Raw genomic sequence first — 23355 nt, forward strand, 5'->3', positions numbered from 1 at the left:
CTCACTCTCCCCGGGGGTCCAAGTGCCAGACATGGGCTCTCCAGGCCCCAGCAAGGGCCTCTGGCCCTGGCCCCTCCACAGCAGCCACTTCTCCAGGCTTCATCGGCCCCTCCCACGAGATACCTTGACCCCTCAACCCCCACTCCTGGGGGCCTGCCCGCCGACCAGCCCCGATCACGGCCCCTGCACCTCAGTTCATCCCATTCCTGGGGGCCTGCCCGCCGACCAGCCCCAATCACGGCCCCTGCACCTCAGTTCATCCCACTCCTGGGGGCCTGCCCGCCGACCAGCCCCGATCACGGCCCCTGCACCTCAGTTCATCCCACTCCTGGGGGCCTGCCCGCCGACCAGCCCTGATCATGGCCCCTGAACCTCAGTTTATCACCCGGCCTCCTGGCCTCATGGAGGAGCGACCCCTGCACAGCCCCCACGCTGGCCCCTGACCTCTAGGCACACACAGGCACCAGGACGCACTCACCATGGGGCCCTGGCCATCCACCCCACCCCTGTGAGCCTCACTTCCTCCTCTCCAAAGTAGGGGACACCCCTTCATGCACAGAGCAGTCTAGAGGAAAAAAGGAGGCAAGAGGAACAAACCCTTTCCCAAGGCTGCCTCCTCCAGGAAGCCTTCCTGAACATTCCTGAACTCTGACAGCATTTTATCCGCACTCTCAGGCCTTGAGGCTCGGCCCATGCCTGAGGTGTGCTCTCCAGAGGCCTGCAGGGAGACAGCATCTGGCGGGCCTGGTACATGTGAGAGCTGTGCTTGCACAGCACTTCCCAACCTGCAGGCCACGCGGAAGACTTCAGGACATAGCACTGAGTAACTGCTAGCTGCTATTACTCCCTCCCACGATCTGAATGAATGAGAGGCACGGGGCATGAAGACTAAGGAGCCAGCCCCGTGAGGGCATCCCTTGGCTTTTCAGAGCCCTCCACCATGAAACAGTTAGAGCCTCGTTCAGCCACGGGACTCCGGATAAATGCTTGGAATATCGGCCATTGGCGGGCTTTGCTGCCTGCACAGGCTCTACAGCTGCATTCCTGGAGAAGGTGGAAGGGCAGCAAAAGAGAAATCGCAGAGCCAGCAGCCAGCACTGAGGCCCAGCAAGCTCTGCACCGGGGGCCTGGGGTCAGCCTTGTGGGCAAGGGGTGCAGGGAAGAGAGCAGGAAGGGGCACAGCTGCTACAAGCGCACGTGCTGCCCAAGAAGCACCTCCATACACGGCTCTGCAGGTGCCGCAACGAGAACAGCCGATGCTTCCCAAGCATCCGCTACACACCCACCAAGGCTCCTGGAGGCGTGAAGTCCCACAAGGCAAGGCCCCCAGTCCTAGGAGGGCAAGTGGGCCTGGACTCCTGTGGCTCCCCACTGCCATCATATCTATCTACAGGGCACAGTCCTGAGCTAGGTTCCACTTCCCGGGAGCTGGCTCCAAGCCGCCCACCCCATTCCCTCCAGGCCAGGTCAGCCAGGTAGGGGCAGAGGATACCCCTGGAGGCATCAGGCTGGTCATTTCAGTGCAGAATCCACAAACCTGAACCCCAAGCTCCAGGGCTGGCCGGGTACCCTCTCCCCACCGTGGCCAAGGAGTGGCACAGGCTAATGAGCTGCTCAGAGGGACAGGGGCTAGGCACGGGCAGCCCTGCGCACGTGGCCTCTGGAGACTGCCCCGCACCTCCAGCAGTGTCAACCCACCTGGGGCTCCGCCTCTAACTGCCACACTGGATGGGACACGGACACAGGGCCTAGGGCTGGGGCTGAACTCAGGCACCCAGATCCTTGTGCCCCTCCGGGCAGGTCACTGGCCCGCCTGAGCCTCAGCCCCTCATCCAGAACATGTGGGCTTTTTTGGGGTGCACACTCACGTTCTGCAGGGAGTCCTGGTAGGAGGGCGGCAGGGACGCAAGCTGGGACTCCGAGTGGTAGGGCGAGAAGCCTTTCCGCAGCGTGCGGAACTCTCCGGAGCCTGCCTGCTGCAGGGGAGAGAAGGAGAGGGGTTAGACGGAGGGCCAGGCTGAGGAGGACAAGGGCCCTGGGCATGGCTCCTCACGGCAGCAGGGGCTGCTCAAAGGCACGGCCCCGGAGGACCCCTCCACCCTCCCCTCCACACCGCTTATCCATCCCCCGAGCCGGGATCAATCGATCTTCACTCTCCCCAGCTCAAATGTCAGCGATCCACTCTCCAACGTGGGCTTTGTAAACATTTGTTGGATGGCTGAATAAACAGAATGAATGAATGAATGAAGAAGAGCCAGTGAGAGCGAGTGAGGAGAGAGTGTCTCTCCCACCCCGTGACTCACCCTGGCTCCTCCGCTCCAACTTCCTGCCCTTGGGTCCCTGCACAGACGGCACCACTCACAGGGCCTGGGCCAGCCATCGGCAGCAGATGGGGCCACATCCACAGGCGAGGCCTCCCACCTCCCACGGGTTCGGGGCTCTCTCGGGATGCTCCGCCCAGGCTGCCTCCCCCATCGGATGGGCAGGGAGCTCCTAAAGCAGGTCCTGGGTGCTGCCTCTGAATCCCTGAGAACTCGTGCAAGCTGTGGGGTTGTAACTAACTCCTGCACACAGGAGGGAGGGAGGAAGGCTTGGCCTTAGACCCTTTGCTTAAGAGCAAAGCAAACACCACCGACCCCCAGAATTTGGGGCTGGGGCTGGGACCAGGAGCCAGAATGAATCCACAGGTCCCATAAACTTCTCTGGTCAGTCCCACAGTGCCCCTCCCCTGGCCCGGCCCAGCAGAAGGCCCGGCCTTTCTTTTCTTTCTGCATCACTAAAGGGTTTTGGGTGTTTCTGGCCGAAACACCCTTTTCTACTTCAAAGGAACTGAGAGAAAGTGGCTGGGCAGATAAAACCCTGCGGAATGTCCCATAAATCAGCAGGCTGTTGAGTTACCCAAACAAACTGCAGGGGCAGGGGAGGCCCAGGCTGGGGCTGGGCTGGGGCAGGGGCAAGGAAGGCAGGACAGGCTGCAGCCATGTCTGGGGTCCCAGTTCCACTCACCAGCCCCTCGGCCTGGCTGTGAAAGATCCCACACACACCCTGCTTGCCTCCCTCAAAAGCTGGACCTGGCCCCGCACTTCTCACAAGCCCCAGCCTCACTGAGGTCCAGCTCTTGTGTTCTCCCAGCCCCATCAGAGCCCTGGCCAGGCCCCCCACTGGGGCTGGGAGGTCTCAAGAGCTTGGCTCAAGGGCCAGCAAACAGCCGTGTCCTGCGGGGGTGAGGAGGCAAGTGGATGCTCTATTACCAGCTCCCACGGAGCCAAGACAGGAAAGCAGGGATCCGGCACTGACTCCCCTCATTAAATAGCCCACGCCCACCAGACGCCGGTCAGCCAGGGCAGCCGGGCACTGGAGGCTGGGAGCTGCTTCCTGGGCCTCAGGGAGGACCTGGGTGTGGTCCAAGGTCAGGGAGGGACATAAAGGAGAGACAGAGAAGTGGGAACCAACCTTCCTGCAGGGCCCCCAAAGTGTGATGGGTTTTAGATAACCCTGGCGAGCATCACAAAGGGGTCTCAGCACGGGGGCCTTGGGCACAGCCCTGAACCATCAAATGGGACTGCCATGCCCTGACCACGGCATTAACCCTGGCTGACCCTGCCTAGGTTAACTAGAGGCACTCACGGCCCGCAGGTGGAGGTCAGATCAAGGAAAGCCCCCTCCCCACCCACCAGGTACCAAAAAGAGGAAGAGGCTACAGCCCCCACCCCTAGGCCCAGCACTCACCCTCCCCCAACCATGAGTGACACCCCTCCCCCCACCCCATCAGAGCCACCCATGCCTCTCTGGGTCACCTCTCCTGAGAGATGTACCCCTAGCTCCACTTAAGGGCGAAAATTCCAAACCACCTGATTTTCTTGGCCAGGACTCTGCAACAGTAAGAGAGTTACAAAATCTTCTCCAATGGAGAATGCATTCTAAGCCAGCACACACTCTGAATGCGTGCGTGCACATACACACAGTCTGACTACTGGGCCACACAGCCAGGAAGGGTACACCTGGGATTGGAACAGCTGCCCTCCCCTTCAGCCGGCCCTGCCCTGCCCTGCTCAGCTTCTGTTTGGACTCCGGCGTCCCTTCCTCCACATCCTCTCTGGCCCTCGACCAAATGGGCTCCCACGTGCTGTTACCGAAAACGCAGGTTTGTGCTGCCGTCCCCTCCCCTCCCCCAGATAATTTCCCTGGGAGGAGATGTGTGTGCGTGAGCGTGAGGGAGGTTTTTAATTAGCTGCACGCAATTCCCACCCTTGCCTTCGGTGAGCCTCTATAAACATTTGCATGTCCATAGAACTTTATTAGCAAGCCACAAAGCCAGGCAGGAAAAACACACAATCTCTCATTAAGGGGCAATGTGACTAATGGCGCATCAAATGAGTAACCATTATTGCACTTAAATCCAAATTAAAAATCCTGCTATGAGACAGGTCGCTGCCTTTGCAGAATGAGATTCCCTAGGATTTCCCCGAGGAGGGGAAGCAGGAGCTGAAATCACCTGCTGGGCTTGTTCTGCACACAGAGAAGAGCCCCAGCTAAGGAAGGTGCTGGCCCTTCCTCAGGGGGAGGCAGGGGGTCCACTGCCGCTCCCCAGAAACACCCACCTGCCCAGTCTTCCTCGGGTGGCTCCCTCAGGACCCAGGGAGAAGGGATCTTACACACAGAGCTGCCAGCTCAGAGCTCAAACAAGATTTCCCGAATCCTTAACAGGGTGGGGCCAGCCCTGCCAAACACTCAGCGTGGCCCCTTCCACCCTGGCCAGGCCCAATCCGCATTACTCACTTCTAGAGCCTCCAGAGGGCAGCATGAGTGTCCTGGACTAGGGAGGAAGAGACCCAGGAGGTTGCAGGGCCTCCTTTTCCACTGAGGACCGGAGTTCAGGACACCTCCAGCCTGTATCCAGGGCCTTCACTGCAACACTGCCCAACTCAGGGCCCAGCGAGGACTCGCTGGGTGAACTCCAGTTGTTCCCCAGCCCTTTCTGGGCCTCTGCAGTGCGGCCCAGCCTTCTCCCCAGAGGGGAACCCCGTCCTGCAGCGAATGCCTGCCTGCAAAGCTGCAGGGGGCCTATGTGGGGCCACCCTGGGGTGACCCCTAGGGAGCATTGTCAGAGGGGATGCTGAACAGAAAGAGGATAAGACATGGAAACAGAGCCCACCCACCCCAGCCTGCCCACCTGAGGCTGCTTGTTTGGAAAGGATGGGTGGGGTGGCTGCAGGCAGGAAGCGCCTTTCTGGGCTGTGCTTAGGGGAGCTGCTGTCACCCTGCTTCCTGCTCCCAGAGAGCTTTTGGGCCCTCAAATGTGCTGCATCGGTTATGTGTCCGAGAGGCACAAACAGAGCGCCTCCTGTGTGCCAGGCACCACGCTGTGCCCCATCAGGGAGGCTGCAACTAAAGGGGAGTGAGGGCTGGGGGTGCGGGTGGAGGCAGGCACTGAAGAGGGGGTGCCCTGTGTCCCCACCTGGGCAGCCTGCCCGCAAGTGACCACTTGGACCACCAGACTCGAAGCCCCAGGCTGATTCATACAGAATGCCCTGGGAAGGAGTCCTCGTGGAGGGGCCACCTGGCGCGACTCTGGACCGGTGTCTCAGTGCTCGGTGCAGGGATGGGTGGGGACCTGCGAGGCTCCTCCCTCCTCAGCACCCTCCAGGATGGCTGACAGGTGAGCATGGGCCCTTGGCACCGTGTGGCACAGCACAGCTCGGCTCAGCCGGACAGCCAGGTGTGGCCAGGGTCCAGGACCACAGTGGACAGCAACGCAGCCACATCCCTCTCCCCCTCCCAAATTTAGGTCATGCCAATGACTGTGTCTGACTTGGGAGACACTGTGGGGCTCAGGGAGAGGACCCCAACACAGGCCTCCCCCAGCCCAGACTCTCCTGGGTCAGGTGCCCTCCTGCTTCTGGCCTGTGGGGGCTCCAGGGGATCTGTCACAAGAGGCCAGTTTCACCGCAGCTGAAGAGCTTGAAGGTGCCGTCTGCAGGGAGGGGCCTACATCCACCCTCAGAGCAATGGGAACCTGGGCAGGAAAAAGCCACATGAGCCCAGGCCCCGTGCAGCTCCTGCAGGCACTAACAATGCCTCTGCCCTGAGCGTGTGCTAAGATGGTCTCCAGGTCCCCGTGGTCACTGTGCAGTCCCCAGGCTGGGATGGGAGCCAGGTTGGAGGACAGGGAGCTGGAGAGAGCTCCTTCCAGTTCACATTTCCCACCAATCCCACTCCCACAGATAAGCCATCATCCCAGGGGCTACGGAGGCGAGAGGTGAGACCCAGGGAGCAAGGCCACGGCCCAGTGACCACCCCGTCCCCAAGACCTGGCGACCTCCCTCCAGGAAGAGGAAGTGGGGGCAAGGCCAGGGCCCAGGGAACACCCCGTCCCCAAGACCTGGCGACCTCCCTCCAGGAAGACGAAGCACTGTGGGAGCTCCCAGGGTTGGTCAGTGATGCGTAATCAATGGTCTGGGTGCCGAGTAATAAACGCAGGGCCTCAGTGGCCTATCAGGCTGACACCTCCACCCAGGAAGTGCTGGAAGACAGTGCACCCTCAGCTGGCTGGGCTGGGGGACCCACCTGGAAGCAGAGGCTCGAATGCGTGACTTGGGGAGACCATTCTCCCACCAGGGGCCCCAGCAGCTCCAGGGGCAGCTGGGGCCACAGACTAGCCTGGGCTCCACTGTCCGGCCCCAAACTAAAGCCCACCGAGATCCAGCTGTCATCCGTCTCGGAGATCCTCAGAGGGAGAGTGCAGAGAAAGCAGGGAGGATGCAGGACAGGGCAGGGGTCAGGGCTGTGCAGCGTAGCACAGAGGCCTCCACAGAAGACAGGCCTCAACTTGACCCCACGGGAACTGCACCAGAGTTGTTCCCACGAGGGCACGCAGGAGGTTTGTGTCCACACGTCCGTCAGTCATGCCTGTGGGCTGCTCTGGAAGGGGAGGTAGACTTGGCACTGTGTAATGACGTTGTTGGTTTATCGTCTGTCTGCATGGCTGGACAGGTGTGGTTCACCTCCCAGCCCAAGCCCAGGGCTGGCACACAGTTGGTCACTGGTTCTCAAATGGGGGTGATGCCCCCAGAGGACAACTCGCAGTGTCTACAGACACTTTTTAGTGTCAGCTCGGGCATGGGGTGGAAGACCCCCGGAGGGTAATGCGGGGCAGGTATTCTGGGGCGGGCAGTCTCAGGACGGGGAGAAGGGGACAGAAATGAAACCATGTGGAGACCTGAGAGCTGGCAGGAGAGTGGCCAGTGCCTAAAGGGCCTGGCTCCACGGGTCTCGAGGCTGGGCACAGGTGGGAGCTGAGTTCACCCAGCAGCTCCCCAGTCCCAGGCCCTGTCCAGCAGGGATCTGGCTGCAGCCCAGGGTGCCTGGCATGGTGACTCATGCTGACCCTCAGAACTGTGCAACCCACGCAGAACCCTCAGCCCAGTGCCCACCCAGCTCAGCAGCCCTGGAGACCTCCCTCAAGGACCCAGGCAGCTTCCCACCGGGAGCCACAGCTGGGTGGGCATGTGGGCCCCAGCCTCGTCTCCACTAACTCATGCAGACTTGCAAGCCTCTTCTCCCTCCGTGCACTGCAGGTGTCTCACTTCAAAGTGGGGATTAGCACCAGCCCTGCCGCCCTGCAGAGGCGGGAGGACCCCGGGCACCTGGGCAAGGTGCGTGAGAAGGGGCTCACACCACGGAGAGCCCTCGGGGGCGGTCGCTGCATCACTGTCTTGCTATTATTTTGCAAAACTGGAAGTTTCGCCAGTAATGCCAGCTCGAGGAGAGGGCAGATCCCAAGAAGACTCTAAAGGCAGGGCCAGCGCAGCCTGGGAAGGAAGTGCTCCCAGGAAAGAACGGGAGGGTGCTGGGGAGTAGGGGACAGAGCACACAGCAGCGCACAGCACACAAAGCAGCCTCCCGACCCCCACAAACACCACTGCAAACACGCCTCCCACCAGGCAGCTCTACCTGAAGCCAGCTTCTCGGGCGGCCGTAGGGGCGGGGCAGCTAGAAGGAAGGAGAACAGTGTCACCCAGTAAATGCCAACCATGCCCATCACTCTGCCCAGTGCCTTCCCTGGACATCTATTAGCCCAAAGCCACCAGGACCTCAGCTGAGCCGGAGTGGTTTTCCCACACCGAAGGCCAGGGTTGGGGCTCGCCAAGGCGACTCCAGGAGCTCCACGTCTTCAGAAACTCCAGATTCACAAGGACTCACTGAAGACCTGCCATGTGCCCGGCACTGGGTCCCTAGGAGCACCCACCACCCCCCATAGCCCACCCCAAAACTCACACCAGGGTGGAGCCACCCCAAGTGCCCTGCTACCCTCCCAGGGAAAAGCAAACCTTTGAGAAGCCCTGGGATGGGGTGCCCCGGCCTAGAGGCACCCCAAGATCCCAGCAGCTCAGAGAGGCCAGGTGGGGGATGCACGCCCTATCTGGCCCCCTGTTCTAGCCTCAAGGCAAAGATGACCTGCAAGGTCGCCCACAAGAGCTACACAGTCATACCAACTGGATTTACTTTCTTTTTCTTCTTTAATTTTGAGAGAACTCATTTGTAGGGGGGAACAACACACACTGGGGCGTGTTAGGGGGACGAGGGGAGGGAGAGCATCAGGAAGAAGAGCTAATGCATGCTGGGCTTATTACCTAGGCCATGGGCTGATCTGTGCAGCAAACTACCACGGCACACGTGTACTCATGTAACAAACCTGCATGTCCTGCACATGTACCCAGGAACTTAAAACAAAAGTTGATAGGGAAAAAAAAGGAAAATAAAAAAAGAACAAGGGGGCTGCCGCTTCAGCTGGGGGTCCAGAGACATATTCCCAATCTGCACTCAGATCAGGCGGTAGAGATGAAGGTGCGGCCATGTGTGGCTGATGTCACTTACCCATGGCTGGCACTGCTCCTCCCTTGGTCCCCATGTCATTTCACACCCGAAATCCCATTTTTCAAACTCACGTGTATGTGCCATTCAGGGTAACAGGCAGACCAGTCTTGTCCACCACGCAGACCATCCCTCCCTTCCCAGGTCCCTCTGCAGGCCCATTACTTGTTCCAGTGAGGTAAGTGAGGGACAGGCCTGTGGGAGCTTTGAGGTGTGCAGTTTTGTGTGTGTGTGTGTGTGTTTTGTTTCTTTTGTTTTTTTGTTTTGTTTTATTTTGTTTTTGAGATGAAGTTTCACTCTGTCACCCAGGCTGGAGTGCAGTGCTGCAATCTCGGCTTGCTGCAACCTCTGCCTCCAGGTTTCAAGCAATTCTCCTGCCTCAGCCTCCCAAGCAGCTGGGATTACAGGTGCCGGCCACCATGCCCAGCTAATTTTTGTATTTTTTAGTAGAGACGAGGTTTCACCATGTTGGCCAGGCTGGTCTTGAACTTCTGATCTCAGGTGACCTGCCAGCCTTGGCCTCCCAAAGTGCCGGGATTACAGGCGTGAGCCACTGCGCCCAGCTGAGGGGTGCGGATTTGCAAAACCAAATCCTACCTTGGCTGAGTAAGCCAGAGCAGCTCCTCAACTTTCTGGGCCTCTGTTTGTTTGCACATAAACTGGCATCAGGCGGAGGCTGGCGGAGGCTATGGCTGGCCCACAATGGACAGGAAAGATCACGGTGGTTAACCCGCCACCCTTACCGCCAACCGCCCGACTCCCAGTCCTTCCCACAATTTGCCTTTTCATCCTCTGAACAATGTATGTGTCAGACACCATTAGTGTCCCCATTTTGCAGAGGGGGAAACTGAGGTGCAGAGAGGTTAAGCGACCTGTTCAGTGCCACTCTGCTGGCAGGTGGCACTAGTGAGACTTGAACCAGGCCCTCTGGCACTGGCATCCTGCACTTGGCCTGTCAGCCCTGGTGACTCTCCCCCAGCATCTGGCTCACGGTGGACACTCCTTACACTGCTGGTGCTAGGGCACGGAGGTGGAATTTCCTGTCTCCATTCTGCCCACATTGCGAGACTGACCATCTGTTCATTGGCTGGAAGGCTGGAAAGAGGGGGTTTCCTCCCTGGGCAAGGGAGAGGCCAAACTGACTCTGAGGTTCAACTAAGGAAGCGTTTAAAGTCCTCCAGAGACCCAAAGACTACACTGCCTATGACAGAGGTGATACGGTATGGCGGCCAACCCAAGATGCCAAACACACAGGGCAGGGAAGGGCTTGGAGCCTGCTACCAAGGCATGGAAACGCTGACCAACAGAGATGCCCACGTGGACCACCGCGACGCCAGCATCTCCGGAGGAACCCGGGCTCAGGACAGCCCATCCTCCTAGGGACACAGAACTGAAGCGTTGGCCATGGATTCAGACAGCAGCAGATCGATCCCCTCTTCCCCGCCCCTTGAAGGGCTCAGAACTCAAAGGACAAAGAGCAGCGGTTCCTTGGGGATGGGCCAGGCCCAAGGGACAGCAGAGGGCACATGGTCAGCCAGACCTCGAAAGATCCCAGGCCCTTGGGACCGCCTGGGGTGCTTCCCAGGGGCCACATCACACTGCGCTGGGCATCACCTCCCAGGTGAGGACACTGAGACTCTGGGAGAGAGAGGATTTCACCTGAAGCCACACAGCAGGTGAGCGCTGGGGCGGGGGCTATTGGAGTTTACAGGGAGAAGAGCCTGTCTACAAGCTGAGGAGAGAGGCCTCAGAAGGAGCCAGCCCTGCTGATGCCTTGATCTCAGACTTCCAACCTCCAGGACTGTAAGGAAATAAATTTCTGTGGTTTAAGTCCCCCAGTCTGTGCAACTCTGTTATGGCAGCCCTACCAGACGAATACAACATCCATGTCAGGAAATCCACCTTCATCCAGACCTCAGTTTCCCCATCTGTGCCTAGTGTGAATTCTGGGTCTCTTTCAGCAGCCCTTTGGTACGTGGCAGGCCAGGGGAGAGGTGGGCACAGCGTGGGGGAAGAGGGGAGAGGAGGAGGGTGGGCTGGGGGCCCTTCAGTCACCAGCCCAGACCCCAGCCTCGCTCCCCAAGCTGGCCCTCTGGTCTAGGGAGAGAGAATATCAGGAGAGCTCCCTGCTCTTTTGTAAAGCTGGCTTTTTTGGCGCACAATGGAGTCTTCATTTATCAGCCCAGCAGGGGAGTTAACGAGAGGCCCCAGCGTCAATTACAGCCGCCCCCAGCCCAGCCCGGCTGGGCACAGAGAATCCACAGGAAAAATAAGAATGCACACGGAGTCTTGAGATGAATCATCGTGGAGGAAGCAGCTGTGTTGATGAAATTTTAAAGCCAACATGAGAAAGAAAATACGAACAGCAATACAGTAATTGAGTCTGTGAACATGCTGGCACATTTTTAATTAAACCTATTTTGGAGTTAAATAGAGGCCATGGGTGGGGGGGGGGGTGGGACCGCGGGGAGTAGGAATCCAGGGAGGCTCCCTACCCTCCCACCCAAACCCCAAAGCCACGTCACCTTATGCTATTCCAGAGAAGAGCATTCCTCTCTCCTGCTTTTCACCAACAGGAAGAGTCCCTGCTTTGCGCAGAGGTGGGGGTTTCTGTACAACTTGATTTCCCTGACAAGATTTAAATGCCAGAATCACAGAATCTCACGAGCCAGAGTCCATGAGGCTTAGGACAGCATCTCATTCAAGGCTGTGAACTCTTTCTTCAAGATTCCCAAACATAGTCACCCAGCCATCTCTTGATTATCTCCAAAGATGGTACCCTCACTACCTGCTGAAGCCCTCCCTTGGTTAAGTGGGCCTTCCTTATTCTGAGCAAGAACAGCCTCCCCTCTTGGCCGTGGAGACTGGACAGGGATCAGCCACAGGCTCCCCAAGACACATCCACCCAGTTCAACCATGCTGAGCACTGGAGACACCAATGTGGCCACTCAGACCCTGCAGCCCTGTCCTGGAGAAGATGACAGTCCCACAGGGGTGGGGGCCAGGATCCACAAGGGTGGGTCATGACACCCTATCAGCAAAGGTGGGCAGCCCAGGGACTGAGAGAGCTCAGGGCAAGCACCAGGCCACCTGTGGGTAGTCAGGGAGGGCTGCAGACAGGAGGCCAGGAGGATGGAGACTAAGTAAACCCCATCTTCCTGGCGCCTCCCTGAGAATGGGGCCACCACTTTCCTCACAGGCAGTGCCCTGCCACGAGCTCTCTTCACCTCCCCTATCCTCCAGGGGCCTCTCTGTGCATGTGGGTCCTGCGGGCTGGGCAAGGTGGTGGTCAGGCAGGAACAAGGGTGAGACTGGCCTGCCAGCCCTGCATCCCCAGGGCCACATACATAGTAGGTGGTCAGTTAAACACTGAGTGAATGAGTGCCCACTTCTCAGATGAGCAAACACAGGTCTGGGAGAGAAAGTGGCTCAAGGATCCCCAAAAAGCTGGCGCCACTGAAGCTGCCCCAGGAATCCAAAGGCAGGCTTGGGACCCACTGCTGCCGAGAGCCAAGGGCCCCTCCCTCACCCCGTCTCTCTGTCTCTCTCTCTCCTGCATGGCTCAGAACAGCAGTGCCTTCCTCCATGGCCAGCAGGAACCCCACCCATGATCCCAGCTCCTCTGGTTCTTCTTCTTCTTCTTCTTTTTTTTTTTTTTTTTGAGGTGGAGTCTCACTCTGTTTCCCGGGTTGGAGTGCAGTGGGGCAATCTCGGCTCACTGCAACCTCCGCCTCCCAGGTTTGAGCAATTCTCCTACCTCAGCCTCCCAAGTAGCTGGGATTACAGGCACGTGCCACCCTGCAAGGCTAATTTTTGTATTTTTAGTAGAGACGAGGTTTTGCTGTGTTGCCCAGGCTGATCTCAAATTCCTGACCTCAAGTGATCCGCCCACCTCAGCCTCCCAAAGTGCTGGGGTTACAGGTGTGAGCCACCACACCCAGCCGTGGCTCCTCTGGTTCTGCTGATGCCATGGGCTCTGGGGATGCCACCAGCTCCTGGAGCCTTTGTTATGAGGTTCAGGGGCCTCCACTGCAGCATGGGGACAGGGCACCGGGGCCAAGGCCCCAGCAGCATACGGCTGCCTCCTTTCAGGGTACTGGGTATGGCCCTGACAACACTTGCTGGGAGCCCCAGGGCAAGACCTCTGCCTGCTGCAGAGTCCATGCTGAGAAAGCAGCTAGGGATGGGCCCTGGGTGCCCTCCTGCCACACCACACAGAGATACAAGCTCCTTCAGCGACCACTCCAGCAGCATGGCTTGACTGGGCATCATTTGGTGAGAAAGCAAATTTCTGCTAAAGAAACAAAATACTTTGAACCCTTTCTGCACTGGATGATCTCTGAATTCCGCGCCCTGGTTGTATGTAACAACAAGCAGGCAACAGTGGGTTTCTGTCCCTAAATTCCAGTCCAACTGCCTGCAGCCAGCAAGCCTGTGTCCAGGCAAGGGTCAGCAGCTCCCCAGCCATCAGGATCTGATGTCGGTGCCCTGCAGACCTGGCCCACGGATGAGGATGTGAACAGAGCCCTGCTGCTACCCCCAGGGAGCTGGTGGGAGCAGGCCTGGGGAGGAAGAGGTCCCTGGGCAGAGCCAGCCCGTCCATCCTTGAGGCTCAAGGCTGAAGCTCCCATCTACCTCCACCTGTGCACAGGTGGGTGCAGGGCAGGTGGACACAGGTTATGGTGGAGGGCCCCCTGTGAGACCGGGGGGCACCCCAGGAAGGAAGGCAGGAAGAAGGGCTGCTCCTCCACAGCCCGCTTGGGCGCAGGTTTTCTGCAAGTCCGTGGTCAGGAACTGGGGTGTATTTTTCCAGTGGGACACTGTGGCCTGCAGGGGCCAAGGGATCAGGGACACTCCTGTCCTTATGGAAACAGGACCATGAGCTGCTCTCTGGTTGGACCGCAGAACACATTTCTCATAGAAATAACACTGCAGGGCCGGGCGTGGTGGCTCACACCTGTAATCCCAGCACTTTGGGAGCCTGATGTGAGAGGATCACCTGAGGTCGGGAGTTCGAGACCAGCCTGACCAACATGGTGAAACCCTGTCTCTACTAAAAATACAAAACTAGCCAGGCGTGGTGGCTCATGCCTGTAGTCCCAGCTACTCAGGAGGCTGAGGCAGGAGAATTGCTTGAACCCGGGAGACAGAGGGTTGTGGTGAGCTGAGATCACGCCATTGTAATCCAGCCTGGGCAACAAGAGCTAAATTCCATCTCAAAAAAAAAAAAAGAAAGAAAGAACACTGCAAACAGCATCCCAAATTCAGAGCTGGAGCTTCCAACCCACTTCTCCACAGGAACAATGAGACAAAGAAACTCCAGATCAGGGCAGACGCGTGAGGTCACTGACCCGGGGGCCCGAGCTTCAGCCACCAGAGCATGGTCCTGGCCCTTGCTCTGCAGAGCAGTAGCCCCTGCCACCACCCAGAGGCAGGACTGCCTCTCCTACACACTGCATGGGGACCTTCTCCAAAGCAAAGGTCCCTAAGCCATGACCTTCTCCTGGTGTCACTTCTGCCTACAGCTTCCACACACCCTCCTTAGCAACCACAATGGCCCCGCCAGGTCTGCAATGGAAGGCTGGCGTCTAGGGAGCCCCACTCCACAGACAGGTGAGACCCCAGCCCCTCCTGCCCTCACCAGCCCTGGGAAGCCAGCACGGCCTGTGGCCAAAGCCCTTCACCATAGGGCACCTGACAGCAAGGCATGAAATTACAAAAGCCAGCCTTGCCATTCAGAGCTTGGCTGTGCACTTGCGCCTGTATGGTGGTGGGGAGTGGGGGGCGGGGTGTGGAGGAGAGTTCACAAGAGGCCAAATGAGGAACGTGCACTCTGCTAATCCCACCAGGCCCTGGGAACCTTCCCCACAGCCCACAAAGGGGTGAGACGTGAGGATGACCTCAGTGGGAGCTGTGCTCCCTGCTGGGGCCGTGAGCCTCCCAGCAGCCGCCCAGTGGGCAGAGAGGGTGCCGTGGAATTCCTGAGCTGGGCAGTCGGCACCAAGCCTGGCTGGTCACCTAGCAACAGGGCCAGGCAGCTGAGCCATCCCTGCGGTTGGTTCCCAGAGAGACGCCTTGGGTATCCCAGGCTGACCGCTCACGGCGCAGTGGGAAAAGCAGGGAGAGGGAGACTGGGATGAAGCCAGGGATGCGCACGAGGGCTCGGAGGCTTGGGGGAGCGAGCGGCTTGAGAGGTCGCCAAGCCAGCTGGCCCCCAACACCCAAGCGTGACTGCCCATAGCCTCCTCTCGGCAGCCCCCACGCCTGCCCCACCTGCAGCAGGGAAAGCCCTTGTCCTGGCAGTCACACGTCCCCTCCAAGCTCCAGCCACACTCAAGAGGCACAGCCCCTCACCCAACCCCACCTCCCCCCTACAGCCAACCCCTCCCACGCCGTGCCCCTGCTGCCCAGCTCTGCACAGGGGTAGCAGCCTCATCTGTCTGTGGGTGAGGTCGGGCCCAGGAGGGAGGAGGGGAACCCAGCCCAGGGAGGTACCGGCCAGTGAGTCCAGCACGGCAGAGGCGGGGAGGCTTCCGTGTGAGTCTGCCCCATCTCCTGCCTGGATCTGCCCATCTGCCAGAGGAGTGAAGCAGCCCATTTCTTCATCAACTGGGTGTTGTCCACCCTCTCAGGCCCTGGGCCAGCCCTGAGGAGCTCGCATACTGGGCAGTCAGCATGGAAGGTTGGGCAGAGGGAAGCCCAGAGGTGTGGGAGCCAGGGTTAGGTCCCTGACCCCACTTTCCAGGAGGTGACAGGTGGCAGTGGGAGCAGTTGGGGGGACAGCCTAGGTCCCAAGGGGAAGGGTGCCCTGGGTGAGCTGGAGGGGTGGGTGCTGGGTCGCGGTCCTCAAGGCAGCGCCACCCGAAGCCGGCCTACCTGTGCGAGGAGCTTGTCACCCTCCAGCAGCCTCACTTTGCTCTCCAGTTGCCTGATGTAGGTGGATGAGGGATCTGGAAGGACACAAGAGGAAGGGGGACATTAGCCTCCAGCAGACTCCATCCCCATTGCGCAACCCCGACTGGCCCCAGACCCGGCATGGAAGGTTTGGGTCTGAGGAGTCCCACCCCACAGCCAGGTGACGCCCCAGCCCCTCCGAGCCCTCGCCCGCCCTGTGGAAACAGCACGGCCTGTGGCCAAAGGCTTCCGGCCATAGGGCACCTGACACCAAGGCACGACACACAGAGGCCAGCCTTGCAGGACCCGCTGCTGCCCTCGCTGTGGGCCTCTGAGCCCTTCTCAGGACCTTCAGGACCTGTAGAAAGGTGGGGGGTGTGGGGGTGGCCTCGCCAGCCTGCCCTGGAGCAATTCCTTCAGCTTCCAAGATGCTGCAGGCTCAAATGGAGCTCTCACAAACACAGCCAGGGCACAGCCCACCCCAGGGTCGGGGTCCGGGGAGCCCCCTCCTCTACACAGTGGGGAAACAGACTCCTGAACTTGCCAAGTCAGCATCTGGGATCCTTCCAGTCCACTTCGCCTGATCACCCAGGAACTTCTCACAAGCTATGTGTGCCCACAGCATATGCTGCAGGTGAGCAGCCACCTTCCCCATATGACAGTCGGGAACCCCGTGGAACACCCTGGTCATGTGTCCCCAGTTTCTGACCTCAGGCCAAGGGAGCCCTATCTATGCAGACCACTGGTGCAGGGTGAAATTCACCCACCCTCACCACACTGACCCTGCTTTCCAGTCACATCAGGAAAACACAAAAAAATCCCATCCCCACCCCCACGTCCAGCCATCCCATACCCCTGGTCCTGCCTCCCCCCAGGCTGGGAGTCAGCTCAGCTGCCAGGATGCCCAGGGCAAACCCTCAGGGCAGAGGGCTGGGGGAAGGGAGGAGAGGCAGGAACGGGACCCAGAACACAGGCCGGGGGACCACCCAGCAACAGCAGGTTTGGAAGGAGGAGGCAAGGGGGAAGCAAGGCTGTCCCAAGTACCCCTGTGAGCCACGAAGCCACCTGGTAAGGGATGGGTTATTAACATCTCTCGCAGAGATCACCTGGCCCAGATGCCAGCCCAGACCCCATCCACCCTGACAGCTGTCCACCCACCGGCCCACCCGACAACAGGACGCAGGGTCTTCCCAGATTCATGCCGCTCACCCTCGATTGCAGAAGCAGAGACATCAGCCCCTTTGACCACACACAGCCAGCTATCTAGTCCCCATCACCACCTCAGGGCTGGGGATGGACTCCACAGGCTGTTAACATGCCTGGGGGGACAGGGGCTTGGGTGCTACTGGGGACAAGCCAGGACCACCATGCCAACCACAGGACCAATGAAGCATCTGTCTGCCCCCAGCACACCAATAAAAGGATGCTTGGGAGCCCCCTATTCAGCCCTGGACCAGGCCTAGGGCCCAGCAGAGCCACTGGCCCAGCCACAGGCAGGAGCAGGTACTGGAGCCCGGCCCGGCCGCACTCACTGCTGGGGAAGAGCGCAAACCAGCCTCCCCTCCTCCTCCAGCCCAGTCACCTCCCAGGAATGTGGGGCCTTCTAGAGAGGAGAGAAGGGCAGCTCCCCATCCAGGCCCAGCCTCCCCGCCCTGCCAGGCAGACCACCCCTGCCCTCAGGGTGACCTCAGAGCCTCACACCTCACCAGCCCTGATCCCTCCCTCCCTGGCCTCAGTTTACTCATTACTCTATCAACCCCGACAAACAGTTCCCATGCCCACCCAAGCAAAGCGGTGTGATGGGAAGAGGCCTCAGCATTCAGGGTGTGCTGGGTCCCTCTGAGCATGGGGAGGTAGGGTGCAGCCTAGGCTCCCCAAACCTTCATGTCCTGTACCCTACTAACAGGAGGGCTCCCTGGAACACCAGCTGGGAAGCAGTGACCAAGTAAACTCCAGAGACCCTTCCGGCTCCCTCACTCTGACAGAGCTAGGACAAGAACGCACCAATGACTATGGACCCACGTGTGGGGTCTCCCTCTGGGTGGAGTCGGGTGGGGGGTACCCACTGTCCCATGTGGAACACGTGGTACCCCCTGCATCTGATGCCTTGCAAAGGACAAGCAGCTACCATCCTCATTTTCCAGGTGCAGAGGCCACAAGGAACAAAGTGTCCCCACCACCAGCAGGTGAGCCTTCCAGCCCCTCTCCCCACTACCCAGGCCCACGCCACAGGTCAGTCTTTAGGACCCAGTGTTTCTGGCCACCCTGGGCAGAGCTGACAGCCCCAGCCTTGGAGAGAAGCTGGCAGAGACTCAGAAAGAAGACGCCATTCCCAGTCACACCACTCTCCTGAAGGCTCTCCGCAGCGCAATCCTCAGCACGGCCACAGGGCCCCTGCTCACCACAGCACCCCCATGGGACTGTGCTCCCGGGGATGGCCCTGAGCCAGGGGGAGGACCCAGCCACTGTGTGTGACCAACAGCCCAAGATGGGCACTAACTTGTTCTCTGCCCTTCGCTGCCACAGAACCATTCAGGAGGTGGGTGCACTTTCAGCCCACCCGCCTCCCCCTGCTGGTTCCCACAGGGTGAGCGAGGAGCTCCCAGCACTTCCCTCTCCATGAGCCCACAATCGGAGGAGGGATGGGCTGGAACCCAAGTCCACAGCTGCCCCGTCAGCCTCAGCACCTTCGCTGGGTGACCCTTCTCCTGTCTGAGCAGTCCGCCCCCTCAGATACAACTGGGGTTTCACACCCACTTCCCAGTAAGGGTTAAAGACAGTGATCAGGCTGGCAGGTGGCATCCGGAGAAGGGATGCAGACAGGCCATCCCACAGGTCGCCAGCAATGCCCTGCCTGCCCATAGCCAGCACCTCACCTCAGAACCCACAGGCTACCATCCCCCACATCGGGCCACCTGTAGGCACAGACAGGTGGCCACACACCCACGGCCCCAGACCAAGGGGCTGCCCCTGACAGACCCATCTGTTGAGGTTTACCCCAAACCCCAGGCAGCTATGCAGAATAAAATACACTGCAGACCACCAGGCTTCATTGGGTTTTTCTTTTAAATTTCAAAATAACAACATAACACTCTTAAAAAATATTTTAGACCATCCAGTAATTCCAGTGGAATCTATCCTAAAGAATTAATTCTAGGCTGGGCACGGTGGCACATGCCTGCAATCCCAGCAATTTGGGAGGCCGAGGCAGGTGGATCACCTGAGGTCAGGAGTTCAAGACCAGCCTGACCAACATGGTGAAACCCCATCTCTACTAAAAATATAAAATTAGCTGGGCGTGATGGCAGGCACCTGTAATCCCAGCTACTCAGGAGGCTGAGGCAGGAGAATCACTTGAACCTGGGAGGCGGGGGTTGCAGTGAGCCGAGATCACACAACTGCACTCCAGCCTGGGTGACAGAGTGAGACTCCATCTCAAAAAAAAAAAAAAAAAAGAATTAATTATAATTATGAAGAAAGCAGACAGAGTGGCCAAAACTGGAAATAACTATTTGTCCAACAACAGCTGAGGGTTCTACCCTGTCATCATTAAAATGATGTTTAGAAAGTTTCTCTCCTAAACAATATGGAAAAACACTTAAAATGCCAGTGGAAAGAACTGGACACAAAATGACATGCACAATGGCTGCGACGTTTAAAAATATCCAGGCATTGACGTGAGTTCAGGAAGGAAGTCCACAGAAATCCTGACTGTGCGGCTGCTCAGATGAGGGAACCAGTGGGTTTTTATTTATTCACATCGTTTCTTGTTAATTTTCAAATAATCGACTTGTAGTCTAGTTCTGAAATCCTTCTTTCAGAAAAAAAGAATGGCCGGGCGCGGTGGCTCATGCCTGTAATCCCAGCACTTTGGGAGGCCGAGGCGGGCGGATCACCTAAGATCAGGAGTTCAAAACTAGCCTGGCCAACAAGGTGAAACCCCCATCTCTACTAAAAATATAAAAATTATCTGGGAGTGGTGGTGGGCACCTGTAATCTCAGCTACTCAGGAGGCTGAAGCAGGAGAATTGCTTGAACCCGGGAGGCAGAGGTTGCAGTGAGCCGAGATCACGCCACTGCAGTCCAGATGGGCGACAGAGCGAGACTGTCTTTAAAAAAAAAGGGGGGGGAACGGATTAAACTCTTGCACCTTCACATTACATGCATGGCCACCCAATGAAGCAATGGACATTTTAAACCCACCACCCTGACCCTCTCCCCACACTCAGCTCCCTAGAAGAGCTCTCCAGGCTGCCAGGAGCCAGTGAGCCGGGCGTCAGTCACCCTTGGGTCAGGAGCAGGCACTCTTCAGACAGGAAGAACAAGAGTGATCTGGGCACTCCCAGGCGGGGGCTGGAGGGCAGGAGACCCCGGGAAGGGCCGGCTCCCCGGGAGGACTGTCCTTCCTGGCAGCCTCAAAACTCGTGATCCCACTGGGTGCCTGCAAGCCCCAGCCTCTTGGAGATGAGCGGGTAATTAAGTTAATCCCAGGGTTTACAGTAATGAGTGCTGGAGCCACAGGGGAGGGGACATCATTTCCCAGCTTGGCTGCCTGAGGGCAAAATGAGGGAGGTGACCCTGGGCTGGCCTGGCCAAGGGGTCCCCTGGGGTGCTCCCCTAACCCGTCTGGGGGCCATCGGACCAATTCTGGGGGATTCCCTATCCAGCTGCCAACCGGGGAGGAGGGTGTCTCCCTACAACGTTCTTGTGTCCAGGAGCCAGACCTAAGCTCCCCTCACCCCGCCCTCTTCATGGATCCCTTGCTCCCATGAGGAGGGGGTGGGGGAAAGCTGTGCAGCATGGTGGGGGGAGTCACAGAGCCTGCAGGTCTGCCAAGCCCTCCCCATTGGCGCTGTGCCGGCTCCATCCCAGATACCCTGCACTGGGTCCTGCCACTGGGACCAGGACTCACTGGCCTTCTGGGAAGCTGTGAGGCAGGGGCTGGGTGGTATTCCCCCTCCTGGCCTGGTTTTCACACTGGCAAGATGATGTCACCTCCACCTCCCCTCCAGACTTTGCTGTGTCCAGAACAGTAAGAACTGGGGGGCCAGAAGCCATGTCCCATCACCTCTGTGACCTTCCTTCCCTAGCTCAGCACTTGGCACACAGTCAGCCTCCAGAAAAATGTCTGCAGCCCTAATAGGAACTCATCCCTGGAGGGACCTGTTCTTAGCTGCCTCCCTGGCTCCGTCCCACCATCTCCCACCAGAAGGAGTAGCTGCAATGAGCTCCTCAGGAGCGCTCAGCCATGCATGTGACACAGCACCCCGCACCCCAAGCTGGGGAACCCCAGACAAGGAGCTGCCGAGGCTACAGGGGGCAGAGCATCCTGGGCTCTGGGCACACGCTCCTTGCATCTGACTCTGCGGTGCCTGATGCTCCTGTCTCACACACGCCTCCCTATGATCTTATATCTCAGGTTGGGTGCAGACTGAGAGAGGAGGAATCAACTTCACGTGGGTTATGTGGGTGGCAACCCCAGGAAACCCAGGGAGAGGGGTAGAGAAGGGAGGCAGGGAAGGGAAGAAGCCAATGGAAGGGGTGTCCACTCTGCCGGTGAGCTCTAGGGCTCGGAGTCACCCCACCTGTCCAATGGTTCACTGGGAGTATTAACGTCCCAGCACTGCCCAAGAGGAGAATGGACAGGAAGGGCTCCTGGGCAGAGCTGCAGGTGCCAGCAGGCGATACAGCCGTGGGCTCAGAAACAGGAAGTGCCTCAGGGATCAGGGCTGGGCATCAACAGTGTCTGTGACCACTCAGGAGAAAATATGGTTTATCCTCTCTCCATAGAAGGTGGAGGCTGGGGGCGAGGGAGCTGCAGTGACACACAGGGACACATGGTGACACATGGTGACACACAGAGCCTGACTCTCCAGTTGCTGTGCACCCTCCCCAGGTCTGCCTCCCAGCCCCTCCCCCTGAGCAAGGCCCTACGGCATGGCTTCCCAGCCCTGGTCAATTTCTGCAAGGTCTGGGGCCAGGCAGGCTCGTGGCAGGTCATTAGCAGGAGACCTGGCCACTCCAAGCCGCAGGCCTCCATCGGGGCTCCTGCCCAGCACCTCCATGGGCCCTGTGCAAGACAGCTGATACCACCGTTCAGCGCAGCAGCTTGGCTGATTAAATCCCCTTCTCCTTCCACTTCATTAAGAGGAGTCAGCTGCAGCCTCAGGGCTGGTGGCTCCATGAGGTGGAAGGGCCTCATTAAACGAACACGTACTTCCCACAAAGTGCAGAAACAAGGTGCAAAGGTGCACCAAGTAACAGGCAGGGCAGGGCCAGGGAGAACCGGGCTCCAGGCTCTTAAGCCAGTGCTCTTGGTACCACCAACTGCGGGGAGCTCCAAGAACCAGGGACACGGACGGAGATGCAGATTCCAGAAAAACCCGTCCATAACCATATTCATCTACCGAACAGCAATCGTGTGGCTTACACACATTAGTCCTCAACATTCCTCACCATGAGGCAGGTGACCAGGCCCCCCCAGTTTACAGATGAAGAAACTGAGGGTCAAGGAGGCAAAGTGGCAGCCACAGACCCAGGGAGTGGTGGCCTAGAGGCTCCGGGTAGCAGCCGGCCTCCTCTTCCCAGGCAGTCCTCCCCACCCTCCAGCTCAGCACCACCCATCCTGGGCTGGAGGCAACAGAAGGGCCACACTGGCCACACATCCTGCAGTGCCCCCTCCTACCCAGCAGGCACTAACCCTTGGCCGCTGCTTCATCCCGAGGTGGCCACTGCCCGCATGCCAGGCCCAGCGGGTCCTGCAGCTGCATGTTCCTGGCCGCCCTACACCTCTGAGGCATGAGCACTTCGGGTTTCCCCCAGCGAGGCCTGGGGCGCTCTCCTTGTGTGGGTTCACCAAAGAGCCCTGTGAGCTGAGCCACCAGAGCCTGGGGACGGCCCCATCTTCTCGAGGGACTTGGGAGATACCGCAACTCCAGGCCTGCCTACTCCCTGGATCCCAGCATTCCAAAGGGTCACCAAAGGACAGAAATTCTTGGAGAGCAGAGAGAATCCTCTAATCTGAGACCCAAAAGGAGTTATCGATTTCATCACAGTCCAGGCTACCAGTGGGGTGGTGAGTTCCCCATCATAGGGGGAGAGAAAGCAGCGGCTGAACAGTCTTTCTTTGGGCAGAAGCCTCTGGAACAATGAAGGTTCCCAGTATGGCAAAGGAAGCTGCTTACCTACCCCAGTGCCAGAAGAGCTAACTCTGCTCCTCCAATCTCCACAGGACCCTGCCATGCAGAACCCCGTCTTACAAAGGAAAAAAGGAATGCTCAGAGTAGCCCAAGGTCACAAAGCCAGCCACCCACAGGACCAGCGGGGGTCGGCGGGCAGGGGCAGTATATTATTGGTCAAAGGCACATCCCTTCCTGTGAGGGACCCTTGGCCTAATGAAGGAGCTGCAAGAATAACCACATCTACTGCAACGCAAAGAGTGGAGCAAGGAGGCGCAGCCCAGGAGAGAGGGGCAGAGAACAGGGTGTGCTGACCAGGAGAAATCAGGGCCTCCTTCCTGAAGGAGGTGACACTCGAGCTGAGCACTGAAGAGCAAGCAGGACTCTGACAGAGTTTGTGAGGATGGGG

General features: G+C 58.8%; 1 protein-coding gene and 1 long non-coding RNA gene across 5 annotated transcripts in view, besides 9 other annotated features; one reads left to right on the plus strand and one right to left on the minus strand.

The window, feature by feature from the left end:
- CCDC85C (coiled-coil domain containing 85C) overlaps positions 1 to 23355 on the minus strand; it is a 104018-nt gene that overhangs the window by 20075 nt on the left and 60588 nt on the right. The window contains exons 2-4 of one of the 4 annotated variants that reach the window (XM_011536706.3): positions 15751 to 15824; positions 7954 to 7992; positions 4277 to 6016 (exon numbers count right to left, since the gene is read on the minus strand). In XM_011536706.3, the coding sequence (XP_011535008.1) occupies positions 5882 to 6016; positions 7954 to 7992; positions 15751 to 15824 (248 nt within the window). In that variant the 3' untranslated portion in view covers positions 4277 to 5881. The other 3 variants (XM_011536707.3, NM_001144995.2, XM_047431328.1) reach the window with 3 other exon arrangements.
- Positions 1484 to 2043: an enhancer, noted in NCBI's record as "H3K27ac-H3K4me1 hESC enhancer chr14:99988085-99988644 (GRCh37/hg19 assembly coordinates)". NCBI's record gives its function as "activates a minimal SCP1, AML or CMV promoter by ChIP-STARR-seq in naive H9 embryonic stem cells {active_cell/tissue: H9 hESC(naive)}" and the evidence as "EXISTENCE:reporter gene assay evidence [ECO:0000049][PMID:30033119]".
- Positions 2044 to 2605: an enhancer, noted in NCBI's record as "NANOG-H3K27ac-H3K4me1 hESC enhancer chr14:99988645-99989206 (GRCh37/hg19 assembly coordinates)". NCBI's record gives its function as "activates a minimal SCP1, AML or CMV promoter by ChIP-STARR-seq in naive H9 embryonic stem cells {active_cell/tissue: H9 hESC(naive)}" and the evidence as "EXISTENCE:reporter gene assay evidence [ECO:0000049][PMID:30033119]".
- Positions 9344 to 9866: an enhancer, noted in NCBI's record as "H3K4me1 hESC enhancer chr14:99995945-99996467 (GRCh37/hg19 assembly coordinates)". NCBI's record gives its function as "activates a minimal SCP1, AML or CMV promoter by ChIP-STARR-seq in naive H9 embryonic stem cells {active_cell/tissue: H9 hESC(naive)}" and the evidence as "EXISTENCE:reporter gene assay evidence [ECO:0000049][PMID:30033119]".
- Positions 10389 to 10911: an enhancer, noted in NCBI's record as "NANOG-H3K27ac-H3K4me1 hESC enhancer chr14:99996990-99997512 (GRCh37/hg19 assembly coordinates)". NCBI's record gives its function as "activates a minimal SCP1, AML or CMV promoter by ChIP-STARR-seq in primed H9 embryonic stem cells {active_cell/tissue: H9 hESC(primed)}" and the evidence as "EXISTENCE:reporter gene assay evidence [ECO:0000049][PMID:30033119]".
- Positions 10912 to 11432: an enhancer, noted in NCBI's record as "NANOG-H3K27ac-H3K4me1 hESC enhancer chr14:99997513-99998033 (GRCh37/hg19 assembly coordinates)". NCBI's record gives its function as "activates a minimal SCP1, AML or CMV promoter by ChIP-STARR-seq in primed H9 embryonic stem cells {active_cell/tissue: H9 hESC(primed)}" and the evidence as "EXISTENCE:reporter gene assay evidence [ECO:0000049][PMID:30033119]".
- Positions 13369 to 13970: an enhancer, noted in NCBI's record as "H3K4me1 hESC enhancer chr14:99999970-100000571 (GRCh37/hg19 assembly coordinates)". NCBI's record gives its function as "activates a minimal SCP1, AML or CMV promoter by ChIP-STARR-seq in primed H9 embryonic stem cells {active_cell/tissue: H9 hESC(primed)}" and the evidence as "EXISTENCE:reporter gene assay evidence [ECO:0000049][PMID:30033119]".
- Positions 16353 to 17748, plus strand: LOC105370661 (uncharacterized). The gene is made up of 3 exons (XR_944200.4): positions 16353 to 16402; positions 17177 to 17271; positions 17675 to 17748. It is a non-coding gene; the product is annotated as an uncharacterized LOC105370661 (long non-coding RNA).
- Positions 17088 to 17679: an enhancer, noted in NCBI's record as "H3K4me1 hESC enhancer chr14:100003689-100004280 (GRCh37/hg19 assembly coordinates)". NCBI's record gives its function as "activates a minimal SCP1, AML or CMV promoter by ChIP-STARR-seq in naive H9 embryonic stem cells {active_cell/tissue: H9 hESC(naive)}" and the evidence as "EXISTENCE:reporter gene assay evidence [ECO:0000049][PMID:30033119]".
- Positions 17680 to 18271: an enhancer, noted in NCBI's record as "H3K4me1 hESC enhancer chr14:100004281-100004872 (GRCh37/hg19 assembly coordinates)". NCBI's record gives its function as "activates a minimal SCP1, AML or CMV promoter by ChIP-STARR-seq in naive H9 embryonic stem cells {active_cell/tissue: H9 hESC(naive)}" and the evidence as "EXISTENCE:reporter gene assay evidence [ECO:0000049][PMID:30033119]".
- Positions 19616 to 20351: an enhancer, noted in NCBI's record as "H3K4me1 hESC enhancer chr14:100006217-100006952 (GRCh37/hg19 assembly coordinates)". NCBI's record gives its function as "activates a minimal SCP1, AML or CMV promoter by ChIP-STARR-seq in naive H9 embryonic stem cells {active_cell/tissue: H9 hESC(naive)}" and the evidence as "EXISTENCE:reporter gene assay evidence [ECO:0000049][PMID:30033119]".

Source organism: Homo sapiens, chromosome 14 (assembly GCF_000001405.40).
Source record: "Homo sapiens chromosome 14, GRCh38.p14 Primary Assembly".
NCBI lineage: Eukaryota > Metazoa > Chordata > Mammalia > Primates > Hominidae > Homo > Homo sapiens.